The 20,406-nt window shown below is 39.8% G+C and overlaps 1 protein-coding gene across 12 annotated transcripts in view; it reads right to left on the bottom strand.

The window, feature by feature from the left end:
- The window catches only part of ZBTB37 (zinc finger and BTB domain containing 37), a 35,466-nt gene that overhangs the window by 9,675 nt on the left and 5,385 nt on the right, over window positions 1–20,406 (bottom strand). For 5 of the 12 annotated variants that reach the window (NM_001369846.1, NM_001346115.2, XM_017002557.2 and 2 more), the window contains one exon: window positions 1–8,237. This exon is cut by the window's left edge and continues 9,675 nt beyond it. In NM_001369846.1, coding sequence (NP_001356775.1) covers window positions 8,234–8,237 — 4 coding nt within the window. In that variant the 3' untranslated portion in view covers window positions 1–8,233. The other 7 variants (NM_001395199.1, NM_001122770.3, XM_006711578.5 and 4 more) reach the window with 3 other exon arrangements.

Here is a 20,406-nt window from a genome sequence, read left to right as displayed (position 1 = left end):
TTCCTCATCTATAAAATATGATATAATTACACCTACTAGAGGCAACTCTAGTGTTAGCCTGAGTCAGTTGTGTCTGTTTCTTCCCATCTAAAATGAGGATGTTATCTACCCTCATGGGATTGTCATAAGGATTAGATGAGTTAATCAATGTGAAGCACATAGAACTGTGCCTGGCACATAGTAAGCATTCAAAAAAAGTTAGTTATTTTTAACATTACTGTTATTACCTCATAGTATTATTGTCTTAACCACAGTTATGACGATAAAGCACTTAATAAAGCTAATTCTGTCCCCTTTTTGATCTTTTATCTCTACAGTAAAAAGTGCAGGCTTTTCAAAAGCAATACATCCCAGACGCCAACCAAGTGGGCTTAGGACTCTCAAGTATAGGAAGACACATCATGTCTAAACTATGTCTAAAACCAGTTTTATTATACAAATCCCAAGCATGTTGTCTGGTATCAAAAAGTACTTAATATTTACTTAATGAAACATTCTCTTATACATTACCTATCACTGCAGACAGGTGATTTCATAGAAGAGGAAACATGTTCCCATGAAATACCTTAACTCCTGGCATTATGGATTAACTGAAATCCTAAGATTCACAGTATATTAAAATCATGGTGTAGGCCATATGAGATGCTGAATATAAAACTCTCTTAAATGGGGCTGGGTGCAGTGGTTCATGCCTCTAAGTCCAGCACTTTGGGAGGCCGAAGCAGGAGGATCAATTGAGGCCAGGAGTTCACGACCAGCCTGGCCAACATGGTGAAACCCCATCTCTACTAAAAATACAAAAATTAGCTGGGCATGGTGGCACACGCCTGTAATCTCAGCTATTTGGGAGGCTGAGGCACAAGAATTGCTTGAACCAAGGAGGTGGAGATTGCAGTGAGCCAAGATTGAGCCACTGCACTCCAGCCTGGAAGACAGACCAAGACTCTGTCTTAAACAAAACAAAACAACCCCTTTCTTAACCGGATGGTGTATTCTAGCCTCCTCAACAGGACCTATTGAGTAGACATGAAAGACGCAGGCAATAGACAAGTTTTTTTCATTAACTGCTTTGCTTTTGTAATTTATTTCCTTGTTTGAAGTTTCCAGTATTTGAGCTAATGGGCTTCTTCTATGTTAAGATGTGAGCTACTGATATATTGATAATGGTAAAAATGTCAGGTAAGAAAATTTATATACGTACCCTCTATAAAGATAATGGGGGTTTCAAGTAATATTTGCCTTCTCAAGTCACTGCTGTGTCACAGTTGAGGAGAAAGACAGCCTGCCTACACAGCAAAACTGAATAATCTGCACCAATATCTTCCAGGTTTTGATACTACTATCAATAATTACATACTTTGGAATGTAACATATTCAGATGTTTCAAAGTATTCATAATATCTAACTCTGGCTTATCCTGAACAAAAAAGCCTGCTTGCTTAGAAAGTAGAAAGACTGGCCCTGGGAAAAGCACCATTTAAGAGGAAGAAGACTAAAGACAGGGAAAGAGACTAGAAAATACGAAAAAAGATAAGACTGAAAATTATCAAGGAAGTCATAATGCTTGGAAAACTCCATTGCTTTCAATAGATGCATATTTAAATTGACATCTATTACCAAGACCTCAAATAGAGTGGGATGCAGATGATTCACTGGGCTAACAAAATCCAATTTCTTTCACAAGTCCCACCTTCCAGGTTAATCAGAATCCTAGGTTAATCAGAAAAGTAATACTCCAAAATCTCAAAAACCTACTGTTACTATAGGTATAACTGCTCTAAGCCAGGGGAGATCTAACCTAGGCAAATATTCTGGAACTTTATAGATGAGGATTATCTATTACTCAGAGGGTATATCATATAAAACTTCCTAATATCCAATTAGAAAGCAGCAACTTTAAAATACCTAGTGAAGAGAGTCCCTATTATAGAAAGCTAGTTACTCACTTGAACTTTGTCTATGTTGACAGCGCTCACAACAGATTCAAACTCCCTATACTGTATCAGCATGGCCTAGAAAACTTTGTCAAGATAGATCTAATTCAAAAGTCCCTATATCATTTCCAAATGGGAAGCAATTATTCTCTCTTCTTGCAAGGATTTTTTTTTGTTTTAGAGATAAGGTCTATGTTGCCCAGGCTGGTCCTTAAATTCCTGGCCTCAAGTGGGCCTCTCAGCTCAGTCTCCCAAGTAGCTGGGATTATAGGTGTCTGCTGTCACACCCGGCTTCCTGCAAGGATTTCTGTTTATGAACCCCCTAACATTTCCCATTTTTCCCACATCGAGTATAAGTAGGCTATCTGAACACTAAGAATGAACATTCACAAAGCAAACATGTTAATGGTCCAATATGTATTTAGAAGAATTATAGACAATAACAGAAATGGGAAGATAGGTCTAAAAAGAATTTGAAATCCTCAGATGTTTCATTATGTTTCAAAACATCCAGGAAAAAAGGAAGAAAAACTTGGCTTTTTACTGCTCTACATGGAACAGAGTAAGTTTAAAGAAGTTAAAATTAAGATACATTGCAAAGGGAAAAGGTAGGGGTTCTAATCCAGAAAAACAGTACTTTGGATATGAATCAAAATACTTCTTCATAATGAAATTAGTTTTTAATCCACTTGGGAAAAAATTCATTCTTGTCACCATTATGCAAACCAGTTCAAGTTAACTCAGAGGAATGGCAAAACTTACTTACAACTAAACTTTAAAATACCGGCACCATTAAGACAAGGACAAACAACAGGCCAATTCTAAATGCTTTTAAAGTAATGGGAATCATGAAGGAGCACAAAAAAATCATGAAGGAGCACAAAAAGAGTTATGATAAGAGGATCTAGAAAAAGTTGGCAAACTCTTTCAAGAAAACATGTATATGTGACAACATGAATTTAAAACTTCAACCAAACTATTATAAAGGCAAAATGTCATGAGTAACAACTTTAGGAGGTAATTCTTTCTTGGAGTTGGCAAATTTTTTCTAACAAGTACCAGACAGTAAATATTTTCAAGCTTTGTAGCCACGTGATCTTTGTCACAAGTACTCAACTTTGCCATTGTAGTAGAAAGAAGGCATAAACAATACCTAAACAAGTAAGTGTGGCCCTATTCCATTATAATTTTCTTTACACAAGCAAGTAGCCTCAGCATTTGGCCTGGAAACTACTGTTTGCTGAACCCTGATCTAATTCCGTAAGTCCTAAGGGTATATTTTGCTGAGGACATCTTCTCAAACCTAGGGATTTGCCCGACAATTGCTTGTTGCTTTTCTAAATCTGCTTAGCAACCAAAGTATTTCAATATTTTAAACTCTTTCACATATAACCTAAATAAAGAGCTCAATTTCCAAAGACTAAGTTCAATTAAGACTCATTTGTTATTCCTTGAACTAATAAGTACACAGATAAGGGGAAGGACATTTTAGGAAGAGAAAAAAATCATGCCTCTTGTACCTGAAAAAAAGAAAAACTTCCAGGATTCCAACTCTTCCTGATTAAATGCCTTTCACTATGATGAAGAAGACTTTTGTCTTTGTTCAGTTTCCTTTCCATTATCCATTGCTTTCATTTAAGTTAGACAGTCTGGTCAAACAAAATAAATACAGTTTTCACCAGTTAAAAGAAACCCAATTAATGTCAAGTAACAGCTAAAACTCTGGAAAAGTTACTTCTTGACCAAAGATTATTCAGCTATTAAGAATGACATTTACAGCCAGGTGTGGTCACACGCCTGTAGTCCCAGCTCCTCAGGAGGCTGAGGAAGGAGGACCACTTGAGCCCAGGAGTTTGAGACCAGCCTGGGCAACATAGTGAGACCCTGCCTTTAAGAAAAAAAAGAAAAAAATGAAGTTCCCTACTTCACTCTGCCACCAGACCAATTCCAACCAATACCAGATGTCAACTATGAAGTCGGGGGGAAAAAGTTTTTTCTATCTTCAAACCATCTTTGGAAAACCCTGTTTCACTGATGTAGAGGGAACTGGAAACATTTAAAAAATGACAAAAAATAAAATTTTCCTTAACTGCTCTCTTCATTCCCAAACTTTATCCTCTATGAACTAATTTACCTTTATGTATTTGAGATTAGATTTAACCCTCTATTATAATAAAAATGGCATGGGGTAGTTTGCAACTTGGATAAAATAAAATTCAACTTGGTTCAGAGGTAAATACGGTTCTGAGTAAAGAGAGAACAAGTCATTAGAAGGAGCCTTTCTGCCTAAGTACAGCATTAACTGTTCATGCCAATGCTATATTTTATACTGGTATTAGAGTTCAGACAGAATAAAGGAACATCTTAGTATGAAAATAGATTAATATACTTCCGTCTCTCTTCTTTGCTGAGAATACTGGATAGCTCCTTTGCTACTAAGTGCCACTCAATAAATGAAAACAGTCCCAGTGTTTGCAATTTCATGGCATTAAAGTACTTCATGATGATGTAGCTCTCATTGCTAATGCAGTTCCCTTCACAAGGTAACACGTGCAAGTTAAGATTTGGTAATTAATTTTCAGCATCAACCAAACAAAGTCCATTTAGTACATCCTTAAGAGGTATCCTCTGTGCATACACCAATAGCTGTTCATTAATGTAGATAGAACATCAGTAACTCCTATGACCAATGTGTTGTTAGCTAAGAACTAGGACAATGTCACAGTGTATGTGGGTAAGAGTCTTGGACAGTTATTTAGAATAACAACATCTCTTTTAACGAAAAAGCTGAAATTGTTTTCAGAAGTTTTAATTTGTTTAAAAGCTAGCCTGCCTTAAATTTTCATGAATTTTGTGGCTCTGGCTAGGCCAATTGAGAGAACCAGCAAACATGATTGTGCTAAAGTGGTCCTAGATGACCAGGAAGCACCCTATTCACAGTATCAATATAGGAAAAGGCTATTTAAAGTGAATGAAAAGAAAAGGGAGGGGAAACCCACCAAACATTCATAGCATTTCCACATGAATGAGATAGTCCCTACCTCATTTGTTTGTTGCTAACCCTGGAAGGAGAATTGACAAATGCTGCAAAGTTTCTCTTTACAGAAATTACTGCACTTCACCTTTAAAATTTGGTAATAGTTTAAAAAGCTCCATTTTCTCACATATAATCTAAGAAACTAACAAAGCAACAAAGAATTCTTTCTCCAGGCCAAGTTCACTGGCTCATGCCTGTAATCCTAGCACTTCGGGAGGTCAAGGTGGTAGGATTACTTGAGGCCAGGAGTTCAAGACCAACCTAGGCAAATTTTGTAGAGACACCGTCTCTACAAAAAAATTTAAAAATTAGCTAGACATGGTGGTGCATGCCTATAGTCCTAGCTACCTGGAGGCTGAGGCAGGTCAATCACTTGAGCCTAGGAGTTCAAGATTACAGTGAGCTATGATTGCACCACTGCACTCTGGTTTGGGTGACAAGAGGAAGACACAGTCTCTAAAAAATATAAAAAAGAAGAAAAAGAAAAACAGAACTTTCTAGCATACTATTTCTCAAAAGTAGGATGGACTTAAAAGTTTTTTGGTAGGCTTAAAGGCTCCATCCAAAGCAGCATAATCTGTACTTCTCACCTCACTGCCTATTTAGTAATGACAAAATCTGTCCACTGAAAACCTTATTACCAGTTGTTTCCCTAAGGATTTTTGGCTAATTCAACTTTACCTTTTCTATGCCACAGAGCACAGCCAGTCCCTAAAGATGGCTTTAGAAGACAGTTTTTTCCTTATCATGCTGTTGTCTAACTAAAGCGGAGGATGCACCAGTCTATGTCTTCTAAAGACAAAATACAGTTTCAATGCTGCCTTTAAGGGTAGGCTCTTATTAAATGGTAGCATCATTATCTTCCCATAAAAGATGCATTTCTATGCTTTTTCAGAAGATAAAATAACCTTTCTCTTGTGAGAGGGTGCAGCTTTATGTACATGTACAATTCTCAGATTGCTTAAGATCTACCCTTTGCATTCTAATTTCTTATCTCAAAGAGATTTCTTTCTTTTCTACCCACCTTTTCACATACCACAAAGCAATCTCAGGAAAGGAGCACATGACTAACATTCTCACAGATGGTTCACCAGTGCAGGTACAACCTGTCCCTCTGCCAAATCTCTTTTACAGTCATCTATGCCTCTGCACTGAAACAATTTCTTAAACCATTACATACTTAAAAGAACCCCAACAACTAGTGCTCCGTCAACAGAAGCTAGAGATTTTTCAACTTGCACTGTAAGTTATAAGCATCTATTTGCCGGCATCCCTTAATATTCCTCCTTCTCTCACTTCATGAAAGACGGGGTATCCAAAGCTCTACATGTTTGCTAAGTTCTTTCTCTCAGTGCTGGATTAAGAATCTTAGAAATACCCAGAATTACTAAAAGGGTCCCTTGAAGTTTTAAAAATCTTAGGAATGACTAAGTAACCAAACCTGACCAAAATTGATCCTTTGATCATTTATTGCAACATGATTCTGCATGATGTTTTCTGATAAGTGCCCTGTAGTATATTATTAAAAAGCAAAGCTCTTGGAGTCACCAGCTATGGTTTGCTGATGGTTGGTTTATGAATTACTAGGTTTGCAGACCCGAGACATAGTTTTAAGTGAGGTCCTTCTATATGCCTGAAAATATAAACTATTACATATGTATAAGGAAATGAAATTGTGGTTGCAGTAAGAACCATAGTGTTGAATTTCTTCAACCACAATACTGCAGAAAAAACATGTTTAAAACTTCATATAAAAGTTATCAAATATGGAGACCTGTGGATTTAAAAATACAATCCAGGCTCATTTCACTGGAAAGTGACATTTTTGATTACAATATTGCTGAACGTGAAAATAGGAGCCAAAGAGACTAGATGAAACTTTGGTAGTCAGCCTAACACATTAATTCACCTGAACTAGAGCCATTACCCAAGGATGTGTAGCACTATGGTTTACAAATACCAGTCAGGAAGTTGCAGAACGGCTCTGTGCTGTTTGATATTTGCAAAACATAAAAACACTTCCCTCCCTGCTCTCCTCTTCCTCAACACAACACTCAAGCCCCCCAAATGTAGCAGTACCTATTGCATACACTTTGCTGCTCATTTCACTCCCAGTTGCCAAGTGCTTCAGGTGATGTTGTCCACTAGAATACTGCTTCAAGATGGCTGATTATATGAAATAACCAGGCAAAGTATTAGATGCCTAGTCAGGGGAAAGATAAAGCCTAACCTTTCAAAATAAGAACCACCAGTATTCATTTTTTTCTTGAAACACAAAAATGCATGTTATGCCAGGGAAGGAAGAGGAGAAATTTCTCCTCCTCATCACCATCATGACTACCTCCTCTCTTGCGGTTGGCTGCTTCGGATGGTTGAGGCTCCTGCTGCATTTTTTAGATCCGGGCAATTATAGCCACCAAGATGATATGGACCAAAGTACAGTGTTCAAACATGACTGATAGATAAATGACCATTTATCATCATCGTTTTGTTAAAAAACCTTTTTTCTTATAAAGTTAACAAACCAAGGCTGTTGATCCCTGAATTAGAAAGTTGATTTGCTTGATTATTTTCCAAAGTGTGAGGCGGGCAATAAGAAGGGAGGAGCCTTTAGTGCTTTTGTGTAAGTTGCTGATCCTCCAGTTTGGCAACATCTTGGGAGCATCTTCTGGCCTAGTGATGTGGCATTTTGTGAATCTAAGTATCAGCCCATGGCTCTGATGCTGGCTGCTTATGGCTCATAGGGGAAGAGGGTCAGCCCCCTCCCCCTGGATGTTTCAGTCTGGCCCAGTGGTGGACACAGAGCCCTGGACAGCTTCCCCAGGAGCAACTGTCTCTTCCTGTGAAGGTGACTCTTCCTCAGCTTGTCCTCGAGATGTGACAGTTGTTTCAGGGGAGATGCTGTGAGGCCCCTCCAGGGGTATACAGCCAGGGTGGTTTTTGCGAAAGTGCTGATTCAAGATGGCCTGGAAGGGGAAACTTTTGCCACAGACATGACAGTGAAAGGGCTTGTTGCCTGTGTGCTTGCGGATATGATACTCCAGCTGATCTTTCCGGGTATACTTCTTGCCACACATGCGGCAGACGAATGGTGTGATCCCCATGTGTAGGCGCATGTGGCGGTCCAGGCTTCCCTTCTGGTTGAAAGATTTGGCGCAATAGATGCAGGTGAGACGAGGGTTGTACCGGAACCACCGCTCAGATACTTCCTGCTCTCGGAGATACTCCACATAGCCACTTACTCCCATCATTGCTGACTCTTCTACCTGTACCAGGTAAGGAAAATAACCAAGAAAGAACAAATATTATTAAGCATACATATTAAAAGCAATCAAATCTATTTTTACTTGTTACTAAGATATATGTACCTTTTTAGTGGCGGATCAAACAGAAAATTATTACCAAAAAGTAAAGATATTACCATAATAATTTTTAAAAAATTGAGACTACTCTATTCCATTACTATAAAAGAACAACACAGTAAAGTTACTTTCTGGCTGACAAACTGGATGCTTATTAAACCCCTGCTGAATGTACTATTTTACAGTAATGTGAGGAGAAACTGAGCCCACTTATACTATACCCTGGATCCTAATCTTACAATTATATTCTAGACAATCAAATACTTAGGCAGTGCTGGTCTAACAGAACTATCTGTTTTTGTTTTTGTTTTGAGACAGGGTCTCTCACTCAGGCTGGAGTGCAGTGGTGTGATCACGGCTCACTACAGCCTAGACCTCCTCAGGATCAGATGATCCTCCCACCTCAGCCTCCTGAGTAGCTGGGACCACCAGCACGCACCACCACTCCCAGATAATTTTTGTACTTTTTGCAGAGACGAGGCTTTGCCATGTTGCCCAGGCTGGTTCTGAATTCCTGGACTTTGGCAATCTACCCACCTCGATCTCCCAAAGTGCCAGGATTACACGTGTAAGCCACGACGCCCAGCCAGAACTATCAATGATGATGAAAATGCTCTACCCCATTCATTACAGTAGCCACTAGCCACCTGTTGCTATTGAGTATTTGTAATATGGCTAATACAACTGAGTAATTTTTACAATTTTAAGTGCTTTCAGTTAATTACAATTTAAATTTAAATAGCCACATGTGACAAGTGGCTAATGGCTACCATTTACTATATCAGATAGTATAGAATATATAATGGCAACATATTATAAATTGTGACATTATCATTAATACCACATTTTAATCTAGCAGTAGCTAGCTTTATAAAAATGTATACAATTTGTAGGTGACAATATTCCTTTTTATGTAAAATATTTCAGTATCATATGAACATATTATTTTCACTCTAAAGACTACTAAAGTTTAACTGACTTCAGAGTAAATTGTCTGAGGGCATGGGTTTCTTTTATCCGAAAACTGGGAGGCAGTATGAACATATTCCTTTCAATAAATTACTTAAAAATCTTGGATTTAAGGCCAGATGTGGTGGCTTATGCCTATAATCCCAGCACTTTGGGAGGCTGAGGTGGGAGAATAACTTGAGCCTAGGAGTTTGAGACCAGCCTGGGCAATATAGCAAGACCCCACCTGTACAAAAAATAACAATAAAAAATTAGCTGGGTGTGGAGGTGCGCACATGTAGTCCCAGCTCCTTGGGAAGGCTGAGGTGTGAGGATCATTTGAGCCTGGGAAGCCAAGGCTGCAATAAGCTGTCATCAGGCCACTGCACTCCAGGCTGGGTGACAAAGCAAGACCCCACCTCAAAAAAAAAAAAAAAATCTTTGGATTTAGAAATGCTTTTTGTTCAAAATTCTGTATTAAAAAAATCAATCAGAAATTATTTTTTTAACCTGAGTTAATAATGACTGACTTCTGAAGTCATTATATTAGAGGAATAAAAACCTTTTTAAATATGTAGGAGGGAATTATATGTTTAACAAAGAATAAAGTACCAATGCAAAGAGAAGAAAATGTCAAAGTTGACTCTGGAGTAACTGGAGCAAGATTCATCTAGTTAGCAATTAATATTGTGCCGGTACTTTTTCCCCTAAGATAGACACTATAGAAGATCTTGTGCCCTTTTAATTTCTAAAAATGTGTTTTGTCCCTTCCTATGCTGATGGTGCTATTCAGCCTTTCCAATAGAGGCAGTTCTCAACAGGTTTGGGAAGCAGTATGTAAAGTCAAGGGTTGAATACTAAGACTGAGGTTTTAAGATTATTTTATTTGTTTCATATTAATATTTCTTTCTGCTTCATTTCCCTGGATAAAAAAAACTGAGTTCACATAAAGAATGAGGAATCATCCCACTAAAGGTCTTGGGTGACCAGGGACAAAACAGAATAACTTCTCTAAGGCTGTCTTCTCATCCATAAGGTACAAAGGTTATCACATGATTTGCCAGCTTTAGAGGATTCTCACGAGAATTGAACATGATAACAGTACACTTTTCTTTTTTTTGAGACGGAGTTTCGCTCTTTTTGCCCAGGCTGGAGTGCAATCTCGGCTCATCACAACCTCCGCCTCCCGGGTTCAAGCAATTCTCCTGCCTCAGCCTCCTGAGTAGCCGGAATTACAGAACGCACCACCATGCCTGGCTAATTTTTTGTATTTTCAGTAGAGATGGCGTTTCTCTGTGTTGGTCAGGCTGATCTCGAACTCCCGACCTCAGGTGATCTGCCCGCCTTGGCCTCCCAAAGTGCTGGGATTACAGGCTTGAGCCACCAGGCCCAGCCAACAGTACTCTTTTTTCTAAATACAATGGTAACTTTTAGGACCTTCAATGGTCCCAAAATATTATGCGATGAATGCATAATATTACATAGCAATTAAAGATGCTGGAACCTGTGTTCAAATCTGAGTTCTATTTATTGTGTGACTTGGAGCAGGTTAGTTAACACTTCTATTCCTCAGTTTCCTCACCTGTAAAGTGAATATAGTAATAGCATTTGCCTCACTAGTTGCTTTGAGCATTGAATGAGTTAATACACTAAAGTACTGAATAAATGTTAGCTATTATTAAACATTACAAATTCATATTATTTATAATCTTGAGGGTAACAATACCCTAAGAAATCTCCCTAACTCTGAAAGGATTTCCTATTTAATAAATGGTGCTGGGAAAACTGGCTAGCCTTATGTAGAAAGCTGAAACTGGATCCCTTCCTTACACCTTATACAAAAATTAATTCAAGATGGATTAAAGACTTAAATGTTAGACCTAAAACCATAAAAACCCTAGAAGAAAACCTAGGCAATACCATTCAGGGCATGGGCATGGGCAAGGACATCATGACTAAAACACCAAAAGCAATGGCAACAAAAGCCAAAATAGACAAACGGGATCTAATTAAACTAAAGAGCTTCTGCACAGCAAAAGAAACTACCATCAGGGCTGGGCACAGTGGCTCATGCCTGTAATCCTAGCACTTTGGGAGGCCGAGGTGGGCGAATCATGAGGTCAGCAGATCGAGACCATCCTGGCTAATATGGTGAAACCCTGTCTCTACTAAAAATACAAAAATTAGCTGGGCGTGGTGGCGGGTGCCTGTAGTCCCAGCTACTCGGGAGGCTGAGGCAAGAGAATGGCGTGAACCTGGGAGGCAGAGCTTGCAGTGAGCAGAGATTGCGCCACTGCACTCCAGCCTGGACGACAGAGCCAGACTCTGTCTCAAAAAAAAAAAAAAAAAAAAAAGAAACTACCATCAGAGTGAATAGGCAACCTATAGAATGGGAGAAAATTTTTACAATCTACCCATCCGACAAAGGGCTAATATCCAGAATTTACAAAGAACTTAAACAAATTTACAAGAAAAAATCAAACAACCCCAGCAAAAAGTGGGCAAAGGATATGAATAGATACTTCTCTTTTTTTTTTTGAGACAGAGTCTTCCTCTGTCACCCAGGCTGGAGTGCGGTGGTGTGATGTCAGCTCACTGCAAGCTCTGCCTCCCGGGTTCACGCCATTCTCCTGCCTTAGCCTCCTGAGTAGCTGGGACTACAGGCGCTTGCCACCACACCCGGCTAATATTTTGTGTTTTTAGTAGAGACAGGGTTTCACCGTGTTAGCCAGGATGGTCTTGATCTCCTGACCTTGTGATCCGCCCGCCTCGGCCTCCCAAAGTGCTGGGATTGCAGGTGTGAGCCACCACGCCCGGCCGAACAGACACTTCTCAAAAGAAGACATTTATGAAGCCAACAGACACATGAAAAAATGCTCACCATCACTGGCCATCAGAGAAATGCAAATCAAAACCACAATGAGATACCATCTCACACCAGTTAGAATGGCGATCATTGAAAAGTCAGGAAACAACAGGTGCTGGAGAGGATGTGGAGAAATAGGAACACTTTTGCACTGTTGGTGGGACTGTAAACTAGTTCAACCATTGTGGAAGACAGTGTGGCAATTCCTCAAGGATCCAGAACTAGAAATACCATTTGACTCAGCAATCCCATTACTGGGTATATACCCAAAGGATTATAAATCATGCTGCTATAAAGACACATGCACACGTTATGTTTATTGCGACACTGTTCACAATAGCAAAGACTTGGAACCAATCCAAATGTCCACAATGATAGACTGGATTAAGAAAATGTGGCACATATACACCATGGAATACTATGCAGCCATAAAAAAGGATGAGTTCATGTCCTTTGTAGGGACATGGATGAAGGTGGAAACCATCATTCTGAGCAAACTATCACAAGGACGGAAAACCAAACACCTCATGTTCTCACTCATAGGTGGGAATTGAACAATGAGAACACTTGGACACAGGGTGGGGAACATCACACACTGGGGCCTGTCGTGGGGTGGGAGGAGGGGGGAGGGATAGCATTAGGAGATATACCTAATGTAAATGACAAGTTAACGGGTGCAGCACACCAACATGGCACATGTATACATATGTAACAAACCTGCACGTTGTGCACATGTACCCTAGAACTTAAAGCATAATTAAAAAAAAAAAAGAGAAAAAAAGAAATCTCCCCAACTCTAAGGAAGGTAATATCATACCAGTATTATCCACATGCAGAAAGTAAATGCATTTTAGTAATCAGTGATAAACTGTGAGCACAAACATCACACATTATGATCAGTCTCATCCAAAAAATTACTGCAGTGAAGTTGCAATAGAAGAACAAACACCACAAAATGCAGATTGGGTCCTTGTCAATGGCAGCAATATACTTTTTGTAGTTTTATTGTTTTAAACTTAAAAAGAAGCAAAGGCAAAAACGGCTAGCCTCATGGTTCTCTCTGTTGTCAAGAGGTGGATTATTTCATTCCTCTCACTTGACAATTACCTATTAGACTGTAAACTCTGTTGTAAGCACAGGGACATTCTGCACTGCCAAATATCTAGGAATTTGATCAGTGCTTGGTTCAATAGCTATTTCTTAATGAATTACTCCATATAATTTATATGAAAACTCCATATAAATGAAAGGTTTCCATATTTTCTAAAACAAACATCAGTCTAGATTCTTGACATGGACTTCAAAGCCTTCTACCATTCTAATTTTCAGTTACTAACCGCAGACCCAAAGTTAACTGAAGGGCCTTAAAAAGTCATCTGGTTTGGTGTATTAATGTTTTTGAAAGATCTCCAAAATTAAGGATTTTACAAGTAACTAAATAACTCCCTATTTAGTAGGTGCCTATTTATTGGGCAACTACTAAGTAAACTTAGTTACTTAGAATTACTTAGAGATAAAACAACAACTATTAATCAGGCACTAAGAAGATAATGTCAGAGATACAAAGAAGATAAGAAAACGTGGTCTCTCAAATGCAATAAAATGCACTTGGGTAGTGTGTGCCTGATCCTGTGTTCCTGTTTCCCCTAAATGCTTTCCCCCACACCCCATTAGTTATTGTATTTGTCTGGGCTTTGTAGGACTTCAGAGTTGGTGATTGCTAGGTGGCCTAGTTTGTGTAAATATAATGTGCTGGTCTTTCTCCATGTTCTTTTTTGAGACAGTCTCGCTTTGTCGCCCAGGCTGGAGTGCAGTAGCATCATCTCGGCTCACTGCAACCTCTGCCTCCCAGGTTCAAGTGATTCTCCTGTTGCAGCCTCCCGAGTAGCTGAGATTACAGGTGCCCACCACCATGCCTGGCTAATGTTTTATATTTAGTAGAGATGGGGTTTCACCATGTTGGCCAGGCTGGTCTTGAACTCATGACCTCAGGTGATCCACATACCTGGGCCTCCCAAAGTGCTGGGATTACAAGTGTGAGCCACCTCGCCCAGCCGATAGTTGCAAACTACTTCTCCGTGTTCTTTTGGGGTTTACAAACTTCTTTTTGTATTGAGAGAAAAATAGCCAAAACATCTTTGACAGAAGGTTCTGTACCTGGCAAAAAATCTGAAACATTAGACTGCGGAGCCCTCTTCTTAAAAGTGGGGATCTTGAACCATCCTTTCTTTAGTTTTCTCCTTTCCCTATTACCTATTGGGCCAGATCTTCTGTCCTAAAAATTTGTCTCCTACCCTTCTCCCTCTTTTCCATCGACCCCCAAAAGAAAACCTACACACCCACGCATATACATATTTAATTTTTAGGGCAACTACACAACTCTGAAATGATTGATGCAAAAATCCTGAAGAAGCTAGGAAACCCCCATCCCTTGTTTCCAATCTCCTGAGTCAAGACCATTTTTCTTGATGTGATTCATGCTAAACCCTTAAGACACTGCTGGATTCTGGATGGATTAAACCTACCTCATCTTTAATCCTAAAGTAGAGAGAAGCAACTGGGGGCTTTCCATGTAGAAAGTGGGGTCAGGAAGCCAAGAAAGAGAATAAATGCTGATTTTTTTTTTTTTTTTTTGAGATGGAGTTTTGCTCTTGTTCCCCGGGCTGGAGGGCAATGGCATGGTCTCGGCTCACTGCAACCTCCACCTCCCGGGTTCAAACGATTCTCCTGTCTCAGCCTCCCAAGTATCTGGGATTACAGGCACCCGCCACCATGCCTGGCTAATGTTTTTGTATTTTTATTAGAGAAGGGGTTTCACCATGTTAGCCAGGCTTGTCTTGAACCTCACTCCTGATGTCAAGTGATCCGCCCATCTCAGCCTCCCAAAGTGCTGGGATTATAGGCATGAGCCACTGCGCCCAGCCTAAATGTTGAATTTATATCCAAGTCACTCAAGAACTTTTATACAGGTGTAAGAAATTTATGTCAAAGTAGCCACAAGATTGCTTAACAGGAGATGAACAAATGTAACTTAATGTTTACCACTAGAAGCTAAAGCTTTATGTGAAATCTTGAATTTATGAGGTGGAAGGGAGGGTAGGAAAGTCTGTACCTATCTGTTCTTTTCCTGGTCTCTTCCCCTTATTCCTGAACTGCAGGAGACAGAGCCTCTTTGGGCATTGGTGACCCCATCACTGGGGTGTGTTTATTTGATGGTTGATTGTGCTGTACTGGGTACTTCCTTGCCCATTTTCTAATCATTCTGTAACATAGGCTGACTCTTTCCCCTTCCTTCCCTTCTCCTTTCCCTGGGAAAATAGAATGCATAAACAAAGACTTATTGGTACTAAAACTGTCAAAAGACAAAAACAAAAAGAGGAAAGAAAATGTGGTCTCTGCTCTCAAGGAGATTTCAGTTTAACAGGAGACACAAAACTAATGCAAATAAAAAAGGAACAACATATATTGAGTCTAGAGAATTAGGAAAAATTGTATTGTACCATGCTATAATAGTAGCCTAAAAAGGAAAAATCAAAGAGGACTGGAGCAGTTAGGACAGATAAAACTAGGAGCTGGACCTTGGCTGAACCCAGACACCTGAAAAGAAATGAGGCATTCAGACTTTAGATGCAGAAAGAGAAATAGTTTAATGTGGTTCTGACACAGGGAGAGTCTATCTGTTTGAGACAGTGAATGCTGATGAGTGGTGGGAAAAGTTGGGTTAAAAAGACTGTAAATCACTTGAAAAATTAGGCCAAGTATATTAACCTTCATGTCATAGAAAAAGCTACAGAATGTTTTCAAGTAAAAGAGTAACTTTATTAGTGTGTTCCAGTTTAATCACCCCCATAATCAGGAAGTTCTTCAAATCTATCAATATTCATTCTTACTGTAAGTCCTTGCCCTGTTTTAGTTCTCTGTAGTAGAGGAAAAAAACTGGTGAGTAGACTTACCATATTAAACTTTCATATCCATTAAGGCATATATATTACCCTATCCTTGAGGCTGTATGTGGTGGCTCACATCTGTAGTCTCACCCCTTGGGAGACCAAGGTGGGAGGACTGCACCTTGGTCTTCCAAGTGATGGGATTACAGGCGTGAGCCACTACTGAGCTCAGGAATTCGAGATCAGCCTGGGCAACACAGTGAAACCCTGTGTCTACAAAAAACAAAAAAATTAACCGGGTGTGGTGGCACATGCCAGTGGTCCCAGCTACTCAGGAGCTGAGGTGAGGGGACTGCTTGAGCCAGGGAAGGCAAGGCTGCAGTGAGACATGATCATACCACTGCACTCTAGCCTGGACGACAAAGTGAGATCCTGTCTCGGAAAAAAAAAAAAAAAAAAAAAAAAGAAAGAAAATCTTGACAACACTTTCCTTAAGTGGACACTGATTTCATTATTCCATTGCCTTTTAAACAATCCTAGTCCCACAACACTATTACTCAAGTTTATACTGTAGAGTCTTACAGTTTTTTTGTGTGTATTTGTTAGTCTGTCTTATGCCCCCATTAAGTTGTAACGTCTGACTCATTACTGAATTTACAGTTATGTACCACATAACATTTTGGTCAGTGATGGACCACATATGTAACCGTGCTTCCATACGATTATAATACAATATTTTTACACTATCGTTTCTATGTTTAGATACACAAATATTTACTATATTCAGTAATTTATGTTTAGATACACAAATATTTACTTTGTAACTGCCTACAGTATTCAGTACAGTAACATGCTATACAGGTTTGCAGCCTAGGAGGAACGGGATATATCATATGAACTAGGTGTGCAGTAGGTTATACCATCTAAATTTGTGTAAATATACTCTATATTTGCACAATGACAAAATGGTCTAGCATTTCTCAGAATATACTGTCAATTAGTGACACACGCCTATATCTGCTCAACAGCCTCCTCTGCATTGCTATCATACCATATTTGAGAGATGAGGAGAAAAAGGGCCCTAATAATATGAGCCAAATTACCTTTCCTCCAAGCTCCTAATATTTTCTCTAACATCTTATCAAAACTAAAAAACACAGTTTGTAACAATGTCTTACGGCTATTACTATACCATGCACACAATAAATATTCAGTGGTTTAGGCTGGGTACGGTGGCTCATGTCTGTAATCCCAGCACTTCGGGAGGCTGAGGCGGTTGGATTACCTGAGGTCAGGAGTTTGAGACCAGCCTGACCAATATGGTGAAACCCTGTCTCTACTAAAAATACAAAAATTAGCTGGGCGTGGTAGCATGCACCTGTAGTCCCAGCTACTCGGGAAGCTGAGACAGGAGAATTGCTCGAACCAGAGAGGTGGAGGTTGCAGTGAGCCAAGGCTGCGCCACTGCACTCCAGCCTGGATGACAGAGCCAGACTCCATCTAAAAAAAAAAGTAATAATAATTCAGTGGTTTAGTTAAAAATTAGACAAGATACTATCAGTGTAATGCAGAGGCTAGAAACATGAGCTATGTAATCTTAATTCAACAGTGTTTACTTTTTAAAGGCAAAAATGTTCACAATTTATTGTCTTCTACTTGGTGAGTTCATGAGCTTTAAAAAAAATCATTCAATCAGACCTGTGAGAAAAAAAAAATGAGCAAACTCATACTAGTTGCTAAGGAGAGTTGCAAAGAAAATAGAAAAAAACCCATCATTCCTATCCTTTCTAGAATGTGTTAGTCTAACAAAATATTCAGGAAGAAAATAAATGACAAGATACAGTACATGAAATAGCAAACACACATAAAAATGTGTAAGCAGCTGGGCACAGTGGCTCACGCCTGTAATCCCAGCAAATTGGGAGGCTGAGGCAGGCAGATTGCTTGAGTCCAAGAGTTTGAGACCAGCCTGGGCAAACTGGTGCAACGCCATTTCCACTAAAAACACACAAAAAAATCAGCTGGGCATGGTAGTGCGCATCTGTGGTTCCAGCTACTCAGGAGGCTGAGGGGAGAGAATCACCTGAACCTAGGAGGTTGAGGCTAAAGTGAGTTGAGATCGCACCAGTGCAATGCAACCTGGTCAACCAGAGTGAGACCCTGTCTCAGAAAAAAAAAAGCATAAGCAATTTGTTTACAAATATATAATGCAGGCCGGGCGCGGTGGCTCACATCTGCAATCCCAGCACTTTCGGAGGCTGAGGTGGGTGGATCACCTGAGTTCAGGAGTTCAAGACCAGCCTGGCCCACATGGTGAAACCCTGCTATCTACTAAAAATACAAAAATTAGCTAGGTGTGCTGGCGGGCGCCTGTAATCCCAGCTACTCAGGAGGTTGAGGCAGGAGAACCGTTTGAACCCAGGAGGCAGAGATTGCAGCGAGCCGAGATCACACCACTGCACTCCAGCCTGGGTGACAGAGCAAGACTGCCTCAAAAAAAAAAAAAAATATATATATATATGCACACATATATATATAAATAAAATGCTACAAATTAGTAACTTCATAACTGTGTGTGTGTGTATACTACGCATAGTATATATAGTATATATAGTGTGTGCATACTATAGTATACATAGTGTGTGTATACTACATATAGTATATACAGTACACACGTGCACACACACACACACACACACACACACACACACACACACACACATAATAATCAGACTTTCGATTCCAGGTCCTAAATTACCTGCAAATTACCTGTATGTGGTTTTCTGGGATTATTTTTTATTACTATCAGGTCTACAGTGTGGTTATTATAATCAGGAAAGAGTTCCACAATCTTACTTTTTTATATTTCCCAAACTCTGCTGACATCGAAAGTGTATTTTCCTGCACGCCCACAAGCAAGAATTTTAAAAAAAAAGTAATCAAATACAGTATTTAACTTTGCATTTTTTACATAACAAGTCAGGCTGTCTACTAATAACAAAAGTTCTATTTCTTGCTTTGTCATCCTTATGCTATAAATTTGTATTTCTTGCTTTATTGCATTGACTAGGACTACAAATAAAAAGCTGGGTAGAAGTGGTGGTAGCAGACATTCTGTCTCATTCCCAATCACACGAAGGAAGCTTTCAATAATTTACTATTAAGATGTTTTCTGGGCTGGGTGCAGTGGCTGGGTGCAGTGGCTCACACCTGTAATCCCAGCATTTTGGGAGGCCGAGGCAGGCGGATCATGAGGTCAGGAGATCGAAACCACCCTGGCTAACACGGTGAAACCCCGTCTCTACTCAAAAATACAAATAATTAGCCGGGCGTGGTGGCAGGTGCCTGTAGTCCCAGCTACTTGGGAGGCTGAGGCAGGAGAATGGCGTGAACCCGGGAGGTGGAGCTTGCAGTGAGCCGAGATTGCACCACTGCACTCCATGCACTCCAGCCTGGGCGACAGGGTGAGACTCGAGACTCCGTCTCAAAAAAAAAAAAAAGATGTTTTCTATAGATTTTTTAGATAGATACTTTCAATCAGATTAAGAAAGTTCCCTTGTATTTCTTTTTTTTTTTTTTTTTTGAGACGGAGTTTCACTCTTGTGGCCCAGGCTGGAGTGCAATGGTGTGATCTCGGCTCACAGCAACCTCCGCCTCCCGGGTTCAAGCCATTGTCCTGCCTCAGCCTCTGGAGTAGTTGGGATCACGGGCACGTGCCACCATGCCTGGGTAATTTTGTATTTTTAGTAGAGACGGGTTTTCTCCATGTTGGTCAAGCTGGTCTCGAACTCCGGACCTCAGGTGATCCACCTGCCTCGGCCTCCCAAAGTGCTGGGATTACAGGCGCGAGCCACTGCGCCCGGCCAGTTCCCTTGTATTTCTAGTTTGCTAAGAGTTTTAGCCAATTGTTCTTTTCTGTATTTATCAAAATTGCCACATGTAATTTATCACTTTTTCCTTATTAATGAAACAGATTACAATGATTAATTTTAAAATGTTAAACCAGCTATCAGTGTTAATTTGTTAATGTTCTTTTCAAAATATTTGCATCTATGCTTGGTAGAAATACCAGTCTGCAATTTTCCTTTCTGGTGATGTCTCTGTATAATTTTAATATTAAACTTCTGCTACCCTCAGGGAAAAAAAATACAGTATTTCTTTAACAGGGCCATTGTTACCTCTCCTACATCTTTTCTTTTTCATTATTTTCTATTCATACACAGTAGCAATTCCTCCAACCACCAAAGCAGTTCTAAATCCACAACTCCATACCTGGGAGCTGGGTTGCTTAGGCTCATCCATTCTCCCAGGAGACTCACTTCTGGCTCTGTGTCTCTCTGTCAAGGGAACAACACTGCCGGAGGGGCTAAAT

Source organism: Homo sapiens, chromosome 1 (assembly GCF_000001405.40).
Source record: "Homo sapiens chromosome 1, GRCh38.p14 Primary Assembly".
Lineage (NCBI taxonomy): Eukaryota > Metazoa > Chordata > Mammalia > Primates > Hominidae > Homo > Homo sapiens.
The sequence above is the reverse complement of the archived record's forward strand: the minus strand, read 5'-3'. Positions and strand labels throughout refer to the sequence as shown.